Raw genomic sequence first — 15113 nt, 5'->3', positions numbered from 1 at the left:
CTTGTAATGTCATGATTTTTCTCTAGGTGGGAGCACTTCCGGCATCACTAGTGGCTCTTCAAATGAGTCTCATGGGTGTTATTCAAAGTTTGCATTAAACACTATGAAATTGTACTAAACACTATGAAAAATATGCAAAACCCACAAAAGATCACTTTTTACCATGATGAGCAGTTTGCCGGAGAGACAAACTGCTCACACAGAGATGATTACATCACGTAGGGTTTCTTTTTTTTTTTCTTTTTTTTGAGACGGAGTCTCGCTCGGCTGGAGTGCAGTGGCGTGATCTCAGCCCACTGCAGGCTCCACCTCCCAGGTTCACGCCATTCTCCTGCCTCAGCCTCCCGAGTAGCTGGAACTGCAGATGCCTGACACCACGCCCGGCTAATTTTTTGTATTTTTAGTAGAGACGGGGTATCACCATGTTAGCCAGGATGGTCTCGATCTTCTGACCTCATGATCCGCCCTCCTCAGCCTCCCAAAGTCACATAGGGTTTTAAGTGGGTGCTCATGACACTTGGGCCCACACAGTAGCATTGTGGGGGGGGGGGTGGTACAAAATTATTTCAGTAATACATACTATAATTTTGTGCAGTTTATGATTTTACATTTGTTTACATTTCTCTTAACTGTGAATGGCACTACGTATGTATGGTCTGTAAGTGCTTGTGTGCTTAAGTTTTGGTAAGTTTTAACTTCTTATACTTTGTGTATATTTTATGGTAGTAAATGACAAAATAAGCTAGTTCCAACATATTTTATGCATTCATAACATACCTAGCTTTTTCTTAAATTTTTAATATTTCTAGGCTACTTAATTTGTCCGTGAATTTTTTTCAAATCGTCACAAATCTCCAAAAAGCTTACCAAAATATTTATTGAAAAATATCTGGATGTAAGGGGAGCCACACAGTTCAAACCTGTGTTGTTCAAGGGTCAAGTGTATATTCACTCGGTGGAAATTTTATAGCTATTAATAATAAATTGTTATTTCTGAAGTAGGTGTAGGAACGTACCAACCAACCACTTTTTATTTCCTACTGGGCTTTTTTTTTTTTTTTTTTAAGCTTATCTTACAGGTAAAATAAACACATTTTGTAGCTGCTCTTCTGCCTTACCACTATACCTCATTATCATCCATCATTTACATTTATTTAAGCACCTACTGTACTAGACACTTGAAATAATTATGTTCATGTAAGTGTTACTAATAAATGTATTGAGTTTATGTAACATGAAGAACATTTTTAAAAATACTAAGTCAGCAATTCTTACATTATTCTGGTAGTATGTACTGAGATATGCTATAATATTTTTATTCTCTTACACAATACTGACCTCTAGAGATAAAGCACTGTAAATTCACTTCTTAGTAAAACTGGTTTTTGGAATATTTATGAAAAGGATTAAGAGGATTTTTTGTTTTGTTCTCTTCATTTTTTTTTACTTTTATGAATAATTTCAAACAAACGTAAAATTATAATGAATACTTATATACCCCTTCATCCTGATTTAGCAGTTGATAACAGTTTTACATATTTGCTTTCCTATTTTTTGGCCTGTGTACCTTAAAGAAAATTATAAGGATCATAATAAACATTTTACCCTTATACTTCAGTATGCATCTCTAAAAAGTAAGGAGATTTTCTACAAAAGGACAGTATATTAATATAATAAAATTAACAGTTATTTCCTAATGTCATCAAATATTTACATTTCCCCGATTGCTGCTAAAATGGATTTTACAGCTGATTGCTTCAAACCAAGATCCAGTCAACCAACAAGCATTTATTTTGGTTGATAGGTTGTTAAGGTTTCTTAATCTAGAACAACCCCTAGGCCCCTTATGCCCCCCATGACATTGATGTTGGGAAGCTTAAGTCATTTCTCCTTTAGAATGGTCTGTCTTTTGGACTTGTCTGATTGTTTCCAAAGGGTGTCATTTAACTTCTTTATTTTTATATCCTCTTATAAAAAGTGCAGATTAGATCTGAATCCTTGATTGGATTGAGGTTAAGCATTTTTGTCATGAATACATTGTAGGTATTTTTCACATACTTCCTACTGCATCATATTACACAATACTTGTCTCGCCATTCATGATGCTCAGATGATTAAAGTGTTCATGACCTGATCTCTTAGTTACAAAATTTTTATTTTTTTGCTACTAGCAAGTAATCTGGAGAGATTTTGACATCATTTGAGATCCAGTTTTATTAAACCTTTTGCATAATAGTTTTAAGCTCTATTAAAGATGTTATAAAATGAGATTTTCTGTTTCTGTTGTTTCTACATATATTAGCATGAATTCTTCTATAGAGAATTTTCTCTATTAACTGGAATTAATTTGTTTATCCTGAAATGTTTCTTCTAGAAAAGCGGGATAAATGTTTAATTCTTTTACTTTATTTACCAATTTTCAGAGTAAGGAGTTAGAGTATAGAACCCTTCCAGCGGTAACATGTTTTTCCAGGAAGGAACAGGCTTCCTCTCTGTAAAATATTCTTATGATCTTAATGAATTTTATATGTTCAGTGTGGTTCAGACAACTACTGTTATTTTAAGTTAAATTTGTTCTTTTTGTTGCTTTTACTAATGCCTTTATTTATCCTTTTTTCTTTACATACTCATGTAGTCCTTTTCTTTAGACATTGTCTCATTGTCTCTTGGTTCACTACTATAAGCGTCAGTGAAATTAGCATATTTCATCCTTGACCATCATTTCATTTTAGACAGTTGTTTTTTTTTGATGTTTACTTTTCGACTCTGCTGTTCAGCTTGTCAGAGTTAAATGGTGTCCTTTAACTTTTATCAGCCAAGTATGAGAAAACCATTTATACACCTTTATTCTTTTACCTTATTCCCATCTTTGGTTTCCCCTTAAATCCACAGTTAAATTTGTTCAATGGTAACCGACAATGCATTTGCTAAGAGTTTCTCAGTCACCCCTTGGTTGGATAAAGCTTGTCCTGTAATAGATTACCTTAGAAGAGCTAACTCATGGTATGATCTTCCCTGAGTACATGCTAACAACTTTGTCTATAGTCTTGATACTTAAAAGACTACTTGGCTAGTTATACAGTCTTTGGTTCACTCTGTATTAGTTTCCTCGGGCTGTCGTAACAAGTTAACCACAAACTTGAAACAACAGAAAATTATTCTTTCAAAGTTTTGGAGGCCAGAAGTCTGGTATCAAGGAGTCAGTGGGGCCATACTTTCTCTGCAGGCTTGGAGGAAGTTTTCTCTTGCAGCTTCTGGTGGCTCCAGACATTGTTGGCATTCCTTAGTCAGTAGATGCATCACTCCAGCCAGTCTCTGCCTATCTTCACATGACAGTCTCCTTTCTGTCTCCCCTGCTTATAAGGACACCAGTCATTAGATTTAGAGCTCACCTGTCATTAGATTTAGAGCCCACCTTACTCCACTATGACCTCAGCTGAACTAATTGCATTTGCAAAGATCCTGCTTCCAAATGAGTTCACAATCTGAAGGTTCCAAGTGGACATGAAGTTTGGTAGGATACTGTTCATTCAACCCACTAAACTTCAATGATGTAACTATGATGTCTTTTAGAATTGGCATTCTGGGCAAATTTCCCATGTACTCAGTATGTCTCTCAGTGTAGATGTTTAGGTCCTCTCCTAATTTTTTTATTTTGTTAGAGACAAGATCTCACTCTGTTGCCCAGGCTGAAGTGCAGTGGCATGATCATAGCTCACTGCAGCCTTTAACTCTTGGGCTCAACAAGTGATCCTCCGACCTTGGCCTCCCAGAGTACTAGGATTATAGGCACAAGCCACTGAGCCCAGACTAAGGTTCTCTTTTGTTTTTTAGGGACATTTTCTTGAATTGCAATTTTAAAGATTAGCTCTATCCCATTAATTTTTCTTTTTCAGGGACTCCTTATATATGTATGTTGACTCTTTTTTGTTTTTTTTTTTTTTAATCTATCACTTTCTCTGTGATCCCTTTTATCTGTTTACTTGTTTCACTTTCCTTTTTGCTTTTCTCATTGCTTGCTATACTTTTGGAGAAGTCTGTTGCCCTTTGTGTGTCCTGTGATTTAGTGCTAAGCCTGCAGTGATTTTGTTCTTTTCTTTTTATTCAGTTTCTTTTCTGTGTTATATGAGCTCCCACTTTACATCTTGTTATTGTTTGCCCATCTTTTCTGAGTTGTTGATCTTGTGTTTCATGGCATTTATTCAATATATTGTTGCTTATTATTTTTAATCATGTTAGAATATTGGTTTATGGTTTTTCTCTGCATTGTGGAAATTTGAGTATCCTGAAATGTTTTAATCTATGTTCTCTATGTTTTCTTTTTATATTTTTCAGTGGACATTGCAGTTTTATACTTCTTATCCCTGTTTGGGCCAGCTATTGTGGGATTAATGGAAGGTTGGTGGCAGGAAGGGAGTTTGGATGATTCCCAGTTCAGGAGCTTTCATTTCTGTTAGTGTGGGAAAGGCTTTATCTTCATTGTCAGTATGGTTTTTGGTTTTCAGAGCTCTTCTTTCTTGTTTGATCTGACCTTGTTTCAATAAAGCCCCTATCTTAATCTCTTCCTTCTCTTCAGCTCTAGTTGCTACCTTCCAAATCCCAAAAGATGTCTTACATCATCATCCCCTCCCTTGCTGCCACCAGGGTGTTCTCAAGACTACAATTCTGGTCCCGTATCTCCTCCAAGCTGCTGCTTGATGCTTTGTTGCCAAGTTTCAAGCCTTTTTCAATACTTCCCATTTTAGATGGAACCTCTTCCTTCTGGGGAGAAATCCTGGCTGCTGTTATCTGAGTCCTACAGCCACTGAGAGTTCTCTGACCTCTTAACTCCTCTGTGAAGCTCTTGCTATAATCCCCACACTAGGGTCAGCTCCAGCGCTTATCCTGCTGTTCTTCAGTGTTTACCTCCCTACTTTCTCATACGTTTGTGTTGGTAGCTCTCTTCTGTCTCCTACTTACTCTGTAGGTACAGAGCATGGGTATTTCTATTTGTTCTTCTTGTTGCTGTGTATAGTTTTTAGAAGGAGGTATGAGAAGAGTCCAGGAGACTGCCATCATTCTTGGGGAACTCAGAAACCCAAACTCAGCTAATGTTTTTGATTTTTTTCTCTGCAGCCAGAAATAAGCTGGTGATGCAGCTGGTTTCATTACTAGCCATGGTGGACTATATCTTGCCCTGTAGTGAGTGACTGCTAAAACAACAATCTAATTGGGATAATTCTGAGTAAGTTTGTTCTCTTGTATAGTTTTATAGTCAGTGAAGAAAACTTCCAAACCAGGAAAATCATCTGAAGCCATCTCTGACATCCCCTTCCCTTTTAAAAATTCTATTCTATTTTGAAATCTAAGGCTTTTTCTTTAATACTCTCTGATAAGGCTGATATGTAAACCTAACTCACCTCTTTTAACTGTTTTCTGTTTATAAAGTCACTTAGGAGATTGAGCTAATATTCAAATAATTGAAACCATGAGTATATAGAAGTGGAGGCAGTATAGGAGAAAATGCATTTTAAAATTGGAGTTAGGGAAGTTACTTGTGCTTATGTTGCAGGTTGGGTTCTCCAGGAATCAGACTTGGAGCTGGAGATTAGCTTCAGGGTGTTTATTAGGGAGTGCTGTTGGGATCACAACTGTGAAAGAGAGGGAAGGAAGTTGGATAGATGCAGGGAGAAGTGGAGTTGCAGTGTCATCCCAGTGGAGCATGGGAATCCTTAAGCCAAATATTTAATAGTCGTTGTCTTTGGTTATGCAAGATAACATGAACTTTTTTAGTTTTGTCTTAATACATGTCTATTTTACAAATACATATATACTACTTTTGTACTCTGAAAAAAAAAGCTTTCTGTTTTGGGGGAAAATACAAATAATTTTTTAGAAGAGAGCTATTTTGTCAGTCATACATAGCACTTTGGGTTCTGAAGAATATAACCTTTAGTTTTAAAGCTTCAGTGCCATTAATGGATATTATATTTGCTTTTCAGCTTGGGCAATGGTAGATGGTGGTTCAAATGTGAAAGCCCGCTCTTCCTACAATGAGAAGACCCCAAGGATCGTTGTGTCTCGTTCCCATTCAGGGATGGTCAAACAGGTCGCTCTTCAGACTTTTGGAAACCAGACTACAATTATCCCAGCTGGTGGTGCTGGTATGTTCCTCTTCCTGTGTGGTCCCTGGAGAATGTTCCTGGCATGGTCAAGGCTATGTTAGGAGACTAATTTGCTTGTCCATGCTTGGGAGGAAAGTGAGGAGGAGTGGTGTACTTTCAAGACAGGCTTGGTCTCCTGTTTGGTAACCTCGAGGGTGGGATTTTAGTCACTCTGCCCTTCTTATTAGAAAGAAGCAGTCTCACAACAGTGGTTTCTCTTTCTTGAATACACAAAAGCATATTCCCATTAGATCTACCACTAATTGCTTTTTATGCAGTCTGATTTCAAAATAATTGTCTTACTTAACTGTGGGAATATCAAGGAGAGGAAGAAAGATCAAGCACTTAAGATGCTTCATATGGCAGAAAGACGCCAGGAGTCATCATAAGTATTATTAGAAAGGCTAATCCCTGAGTCACTTTTAACACCCCTGAACTCTTTAACCTGCATACCTGGGATGAGCAAGAGAGGCTAGTGCGCACCCACCTTATCGTATATTCTCTACTATTGTATTATAGTCAACCTAGTTTTTTGGAAAAGAAACCGATAATAAAATTTGAAGCCTCATGAGCCATATATATACAGTCTCTGTTGCATACTATTATTTGATTTTCTTTAATGAACTTTTGAACATATTTTTTAAAGATTCTCATCTTAACCCTGTAAGAACAGGCCATGACCCGGATTTAGCTTGAGGGGCTGTTTGTCAACTCCTGTTATGAGTACTGTCTAACATGTCAGAAATGTTTTAATTCAGGTTAATAGCAAATTATGGTCAGAAAACAAATGTGTTGGAAAACCTTCTCAGCACACATAAAGGGAGAAGTAATACTTCTTTTTTGTTTTGTTTTGTTTTGTTTTTTCTTTTTTTGAGATAGGGTCTCATTCTGTCTCCCAGGCTGGAGTGCAGTGGTGTGATCTAGGCTCATCGCAACCTCCGCCTCCTGGGCTCAGGTGATTTTCGTGCCTCAGCCTCCCGAGTAGCTGGGACTACAGGCATGCACCACCATGCCTGGCTAATTTTTTATTTTTAGTAGAGACGGGGTTTTGCCACGTTGCCCAGGCTGGTCTTGAGCTCCTGAGCTCAGGCAGTCTGCTTGCTGTGGCCTCCCAAAGTGCTAGGATTACAGGCGTGAGCCACCACACCTGGTCAATACTTTTTAACTTTTATGCCTAATAATTTTAATTTTCTGTTCTATATATCTGCCTTCTTTCATATGGCTTCATTATTTTCTTAGAGGCTCTCTGTTAGGTTGGTTAGGAAAAGTAATGTCCAGAATACCCAGCAGGGATGAGATGACTAGGTTCTAGACCCAGTTTCTTCTGCATTTGTTTTATTACTTTAGTTTTTAAATTCTGCCTCATTACAAAAAGGCTTTAGAGTGGTAGTGTTACTGTTAGTTCTCTTTCACATCGGGCCTACTTAGATGTTTAGGTAAAACTTGTGTGTATAATATGTCATTCCATAGAAAATGGCACGTAATGAATGTGTCATTCCATAGAAAATAACCACAATGTAGATTTAAAATTTTTAAATTGTAGGTATATATTTGGTTACATTTGAGACTAGCTTAATAAGTTACTTTGCAGGCCGGGTGCAGTGGCTCACGCCTGTAATCCCAGCACTTTGGGAGGCCAAGGCAGGCAGATCACGAGGCCAGGAGTTCAAGACCAGCATGACCAACACGGAGAAACCCTGTCTCTACTAAAAAATACAAAAAAATTTAGCAGGGCATGGTGGCACGCACCTGTAATCCCAGCTACTCAGGAGGCTGGGGCAGGAGAATCGCTTGAACCCGAGAGGTGGAGGTTGCAGTGAGCCAAGATCGCGCTGTTGCACTCCAGCCTGAGTGACAGAGCGAGACTCTGTCTCAAAAAATAAATAAATAAATAAAAATAAACAATAAGTTACTTTGCAATGTATTTTTGTTCTGAGTTTAATGTTTATACAGTTACTTTAAAATTTTTTTAATTTGAAATAATTTTAAACTTAAGCAGTTGCAGAGACTGCAGCAAGCTCCTGCACACTCCATCCTGCTATTTTAACAGGATACTTAATCAAAAAAGTATGCTACTTTCTTAAAATTTTTTGAATAATAACCTAAATTCTTTGTTTATCTTTTAGGTTATAAAGTTTTAGCACTTTTGGATGTGCCTGATAAGAGTCAAGAAAAAGCTGATTTATACATCCATGTGACATACATCAAAAAGTGGGATATATGTGCTGGTAATGCCATCTTAAAAGCCCTAGGGGGGCATATGACTACCCTGAGTGGTGAAGAAATCAGTTACACTGGTTCAGACGGCATTGAAGGGGGACTCCTTGCTAGCATCAGAATGAACCACCAGGCCCTGGTCAGAAAACTCCCAGATCTAGAAAAGACAGGACATAAATGAGCATAACTGATTACAGGGTACAGTTCTTCACAGCTGAAATGGTTAGCCTGAGATGCTGGAAGCTTCAAAGGATTGGTGGAGACTATGCATGGTTAAGGCCATCCCGAACTTTTTAAAGTATTTATGAAGCATCAGAGACTTATTTTCCCTGTAATAGAATGCAAAATCAGGGAAAATGGGTTGCTTTGTGTCTCAAGTATTGTCTTTATTTTTGAGACTATTTTCATACAGTTGTCATACACAAGGCGCATATATATATTTGTGAATTAAAATCTGTAGCTGAGTCTACATTGTTATGAGTCACCATTTTCACACAACATCATGAATCTTCACTGTTAGTACTTTCATATAGAATTCGGTTGAAGGAAAGATTGATTTTTGTGTAGATGTTTAATATAACTTTACAACTATATCTCATTGAAAATAAAGTCATTGGGGATTTTTACCTCTAATTTGGATGGAAAGCACAAGAAGCCACACATTCATTAATATGCAACAAATGTTGTATTTATGTTACTGAATATTTCTATGGATTAAAATAGAAAAAGTTTAATTGATTTTTTCTTTTAAATTTTAATAACAGGTTCACCAGCTGGTAGAAAATAGAGACACATGATGATTTGCATTGTAATAATTTCTGTGTGTATGTGTGTGTGTTGTTTTGTTTTTATAAAGAAAAGTGTGTTTGTACCCATGAGTTCAGCATTTCTGCCATCTTGCTATTTTCATTTTCCCTGTGGAAGATGCATGGTTGCATCCTTTTCCTTCTGACCAACACTTAGTCTTTAACTTTGTAAGGTTCGGTTTAAGGTTTCAGGGTTAGCACTATAGTTTTGGTTCATTTTCTCATTAACGATAAAATATGCTGTAAGGCACTATAAGAATATAAATGATTCTATTACAATTGAAAGTTACTTGACATTACATGAATTGAACTGCCTTTCATTATCTTCAGACACTTTGTTTTAGTATTTTTTTTTAATTTGCTAGGTTTGTATATAGAAGATCCTTTCATTATCAAGAATGAGTATGGTTGCTTTTGCCATGGTTGCTTTTACTATTAATAAATGTATCTAGCCTACCCAAACTCTGTAGTAACTTTTGAGATTCTCTTAATTTCCCCTCAGATTAAAATAGAGAAGGTTGAAGGTACTTTTTGATGAAATTTTTTTCTAGTCTGGTTAGAAAAAAAAAGTTGTGACATATTCATTGTGTTACCGTAACTAGAACCTTGCTTTGTGAACTGTCTTTCATTGGGATGTATGGTTTCTCTCAATGTGAAATCTGGAAACTTCATGTAAACTACCCATGCCGTTATTTCATGTGACTCCAGTGCCCTTGTATTCCATAACATGCTGATGAGAGGGATTTCTCACGGTTTCTTTCTTTGCTAAATTTTTTAACCATAAAGCAGCTTACCCTTTATTTTCCCATCTTGGAAGTAAAATTGACCAAAGAATGTACGTTCTAGCCTGGTGGAATGTGCATACTTTAGGTTTGTATGTTACATTGTCCAAAGCCCTTTACTTTCTTATTAGTAAACTGAATCTAATATGACACAAATGTTTTCACCCAATCTCTTGCAACTGGTCAAATTCGAGAAGGTGTTGGGCCTTAGCAGTAGGCCTTTTCAGTGAAAATTCATTCAAAGTTTTGGTAGGTGGAACACTTGATATTTAAATAGGACTTGAAAATTTTGAAAAGAGTATCAGAGACCTCATTTTTTTCCTTTGCAATAAGCTGAAGAAACTTTCTTTTTCAGGAGAGATGGCAAAGGTATATGCTGTTGCCAGAGTCCTGTGGTATAAGCATCTGTTTTTATTATAGTATGTCAAAGTTAGGGAAATGGGACTGGCAAGTAAAAAATGGAATTTAATTTCAATGTTTTATGGGAACTCTGATTTAATGGGAAGCAAACTAGTTCATATTAGCAGGAATTATTTTATTTTTTCGAGACAGAGTTTCACTCTCGTTGGCCAGGCTGGAGTGCAATGGCGTGATCTCGGCTCACCGCAACCTCTGCTTCCCGGGTTCAAGCGATTCTCCTGCCTCAGCCTCCCAAGTAGCTGGGATTACAGGCATACACCACCACACCCAGCTAATTTTTTTGTATTTTTGTTAGAGACAGGGTTTCTCCATGTTGGTCAGGCTGGTCTCGAACTCCCGACCTCAGGTGATCCGCCCACCTCGGCCTCCCAAAGTGATGATTTTATTTTTATTTTTAATTGTATTAATCTGCATCTAGATAATGACTTTGTGAAGGGTGTGTGTTGTGTGCAAAACTTAAGGTATTGGTTGAGAGTTAAATACATTATTTTTATAATATGTTGGGTATAGTCTAGTTACTAATGATTTTTTTTAAGTACTTTTATAAAAAGTTCATTTTTAAAATTGTTTGTTTTTAAAAGCCAATATACGTTGCAGAATTAGGAACAGTATTTATATTTATTTACACAAGACATTGTGCCATAGCATCCTAGTAAAACACCTTCATGAATGAGTAATGTTATCTCCCAGAATTACATTAAAATTATTTCTAAAAAGTAGCAAAGTCATTACCTTTTGCTTTTAATGACCCACACCTCACCAGCTCCTGGTCTTTTCTTCACTGTTGCCCTTATTTTGAGGCAATTTTTCTTAAAATATGACTTTTATGCACCACATTTAGTAGAGGCAGTGACATCAGTGATCTCAGTACCCATCAGCTGTCCCCCTCCTCTGCCCTTCTTCATCTCTTCTACCTTGTGACCATTTCCCTTACCGGTTCATGTTCTCCTTTATCTCTGCTTTTCTTTCTTAGCCAGGATACTTCCCTCACAACTCTCACTCCCAAATTCTTTTAGATATACATTTTTCTGGATATTGGCTGCTGAAATCTGAAGCTCTGGTAAAGTTCCTAGTATCAGAGATCAATCCTGGAGGAGGCCTAGTTCACTATTAGATTACAAAGACTCCTCACAAAGTAAAGGAAAATCACCTTCAAAACCACAACCCTTTATGTTGTCAAGTCTAATATGAGTGTTTTTACGAAGTATTTCTTTCTACCCATTGTTCAAGAATGTAAATGTAAAAAAAAATACAAGAGAGTTGGGTAGATATGCATGCTTGAGGAAACTTGCTTTTACTGTTTTCCTACTTGTATCCCCAGTTCAGTTGAATTTACAAGGACCTACAAGATGGTCATGTTTGTCTTGGTATGTGCTACCCCAATTTTAGTGTTTCTTTCTTTATTTTAAATCAGTAATTATTCAGTTGATTGTTTATACTATATAATGAAGTAACAAAAACATTTTGGTTTGTATGTTTTAAGTAACAGTTGTGCAAATTCCTCTTGTTTGTTAGGTGCTCCCTTTGAATATTTTGTGAACTGTGTCAGAGGGAGAGGGGTGGTGGCTAGGAAGAGGGTCAGAAAGAAGCTAGAGGGAGGTCAGGAGAAGGGTAACAGGGAGGATGCAAAGCAGACATCTACCCTGGTCACCCCAGGATCAGGATATCTGTCCTTGTTTCATGTTGAATTCAAAAATTGGATCTCACTTAGGCTTTGAAGGTGACAGCCATCTCTGATAGCTGAGCATAAGTAAAGAAAGGTGGAGTGCCGATGCAGAAAGGAAAATATTCAGCTTTCCTCTCTTAGATCGCACTTTGAAGATGGCCTTTTGGAGACAATCTGACAGGTTAAAACAGGAACTGTTGGAATTATTCTAGCTGTAACTACCTATTGGCTATGTGTTGATTGATCCTAGAAAGAAAAAATAATTTTTCATTTTAGATCTTGATTGAATTTAAGATGTATTTATATGCCTACAAAAGGTCTGTCTTGTAACTGTTGTATAAAATAAACCTAATCTATGGTTTCATTTTTAATCTAAAAAAAGTTGTGCCTTAACAATAGGGCATTGTATGTTAATAAGGGAAAACAACCTTTTTAGTAGATGGGGGAAAATAGGAACTTTTTGCCATTAAAACTTAAGTTCTTTTGATGTTTTTAATATTATAGTTGGGGGAGATTCATTAAAATTAAATTGAAATAAAATTATTTTTGCATAACCTAGCATTTACAACTAAAGTATGTTTTTTATAAGAACTGGCATCTTGATGTATATAGGTCTGAAATAATATTTCATCTTTTGATTTTTAATTTTAATAATATTAGACCAGGATAGATCACAGTTTTACAAATCTTAGTTTTAAATAAATTATTTCAGTGTGCTGTTAGTCCTCTACAGTCATTTTGGTTTAAAAAGTGACTATTTATTTATGGTAGCATATCAATAATTTATTAATGTTAAAAAATACTGTGTATGACATTACAAACCAGAACAGTTCCTGGGGGAGAGGATTCTAATTGATTGGCAGTTCTGAGAGGGCAAGAAGAATGGAACTTTATACTTCAAAAGGAGGTTTTGGTTTTACCAGGTACTGCTTATGTAAATCGTTTATTTTTATTTCATCAAAGCCTGGCAAGTATATGCATTCCAATTTACCATTGGCAAAGCTTTATTTATTTTTAAGGTTGGATGTTGAATTAATTTTGTGGGAAAATGAGATTTGTAAGTAGTTTTCTTTCTAGATAAGATAACATAAACCAAACTTTCAGAAGTTAAGGATGATGAATAATATTGAAATGACTTGTTATATATTGTAAGGGTTCCCTTAAGTATCATAATTAACAATTTGTGGAAATTGAAAAAGCATAAACTGTGTTATTTGATTAGTAATATGTTCCCTTAAAATTCATTTTGAGGTGTATGTTATACACACAGTAAATTTTTGTTCAGGAATGACTTGCTCATTCTGTGTTTTTAAAAATAGGAAATAAGGCATAGTGAGTCATCATTACATCAATTAACCAAAAAATATTTCATCCCCTCCGTCACTGAAATTATCTACTTCAGCCACCTTTCTTATTCTCGTGTTAGGAGGGCACGTTTATGGACTTTTTAATTTCCATGTGCCATATTGTCCACTACCGGCAGTAGCCAAAGCTAGCTGTTTCAGTCCCACAGAAGAGACAGTGCTCTGCCATGATGACAGGGCACTGCTAGGGCTGGTTTTTCTTGTTTTTCCCTTTTGGCAGTGTGGACTTCAGGAACTAGATGTATATGCACAAGGGATTGAGTTTACACTAAAACTAGGAAATGGAGTTTTCAATCTATGTTCTTGCCTCTTCATACTTTTATTTATTTTTTGTCATCCTGCCTTATACTGGGCTAACAATGAGATAAAATAAAAATACCTTTGAATACTCTTTTCCCTTTCATGCATTTAAAGCCATGGAGGAACTAGACCATTAGCTGTTGCCGTCACATGCTTAGACACCAGTTTACTTAGCGTGTTATGACCTTCCTCACCCATACTACCAAATTTAAATGGGTCCCGACTTCACCCTCTGGAAGGAAGTAAACTCTTCTCTCCCCATGGTTTCAGAGCAGTTTTTACCTGCAAGCACCATCTCTGTATGTGCTCTTACTAGATTATACAGTTCTTGAGAGGGATTGCATCTTAGTGTTTTTGTATTTCCACCTCACCCCCAGCACATAGCCCAGTCTCTTGCACAAATTAAGTACTTAATGTGTGTTGAGCTAAATTGAATAAAGGATTATTAGCATTAGCATATTTTGTGCCTTGGTTGTATAAGCTGGTTGTTTGTTTTGTTACCTTTGCAAATATTTATGATTATCACCCCCCCACATACTAAATTGTTTTTAAAAGTTTTGCCTTTCCTTCAGATACTACCCCAGGCAATTTGCTGTAGATAATGTGATTGCTTCCAATGACATAATTATCCCAAACTCTCTGCCCCGGATATACTTTGCCAAACGAAATTTGAATTCTCTGAATAAATTGGTCATGTCTAAAAGAGATGGTGTGCTGCATCTGCTTTTTTTTGCGCCCCCCGCCCCCCCACCTTTTTTTCTCATTGCGGTAAAACACACATAAAAATTTACCATTTTAACCATTTTTAAGTGTACAGTTTAGTGGCAGTCAGTACATTTACAGTTTTATGCAACCACCTGGAACCATTTCCAGAACCTATTCATCATTTCTAAACAAACTATACTCATTAAATAGTAACTCTTCATTCTCCACCATCCTCGCCAACCACTGCTAAAATCCCTGTGCCCACCCCTGAGCCAACTCCTGGTAACTCTTCAGCTTTCTGTCTCTATGAGTTCATCTGATTTTGAACTCTTAAGTCATCTGTTTGAGAACAGATGTACATGACATACATATAAAACTAACTTGAATCCTTTCTGAGATTTTTAAAAAGTAAGATGGAGGATAAAAAAAGAACAAAAGACAGGAAAAAATTGTAGAAAGGTGGTAGTGTTATTGAACATCACAGTTTTGGTCTAGGTTTGGTTGTTTGCTTCACAGAAAGCCAATCACTGAGACAATGAGTATTGCCAAGGAAGAAAGGCTTTATTTATTTGGGTGATGTTAAGTCAGGGAGATGGGAGATAAGTCTCAAATCTCTCAAATCTGTCTCTCACTGAATCCCCCCAAATTCCTGACTAAAGTTACAGGTTTATGTAGCAGAGAAGGAAAACAGGAGGGGTGAGGAAATGGAG

The 15113-nt window shown here is 36.6% G+C and overlaps 1 protein-coding gene across 2 annotated transcripts in view; it reads left to right on the top strand.

Annotated features, from left to right (window-relative positions):
• BPNT2 (3'(2'), 5'-bisphosphate nucleotidase 2) overlaps nt 1–14403 on the top strand; it is a 35937-nt gene extending 21534 nt beyond the window's left edge. The window contains exons 4-5 of one of the 2 annotated variants that reach the window (NM_017813.5): nt 5982–6143; nt 8270–14403. In NM_017813.5, the coding sequence (NP_060283.3) occupies nt 5982–6143; nt 8270–8541 (434 nt within the window). In that variant the 3' untranslated portion in view covers nt 8542–14403. Of the gene's footprint in view, nt 1–5115; nt 5225–5981; nt 6144–8269 lie in introns of those variants that run through there. The other variant, XM_047421917.1, reaches the window with a different exon arrangement.

The sequence above is a fragment of the Homo sapiens genome, chromosome 8, assembly GCF_000001405.40.
Source record: "Homo sapiens chromosome 8, GRCh38.p14 Primary Assembly".
Classification (NCBI taxonomy): Eukaryota; Metazoa; Chordata; class Mammalia; order Primates; family Hominidae; genus Homo; species Homo sapiens.
The sequence above is the reverse complement of the archived record's forward strand: the minus strand, read 5'-3'. Positions and strand labels throughout refer to the sequence as shown.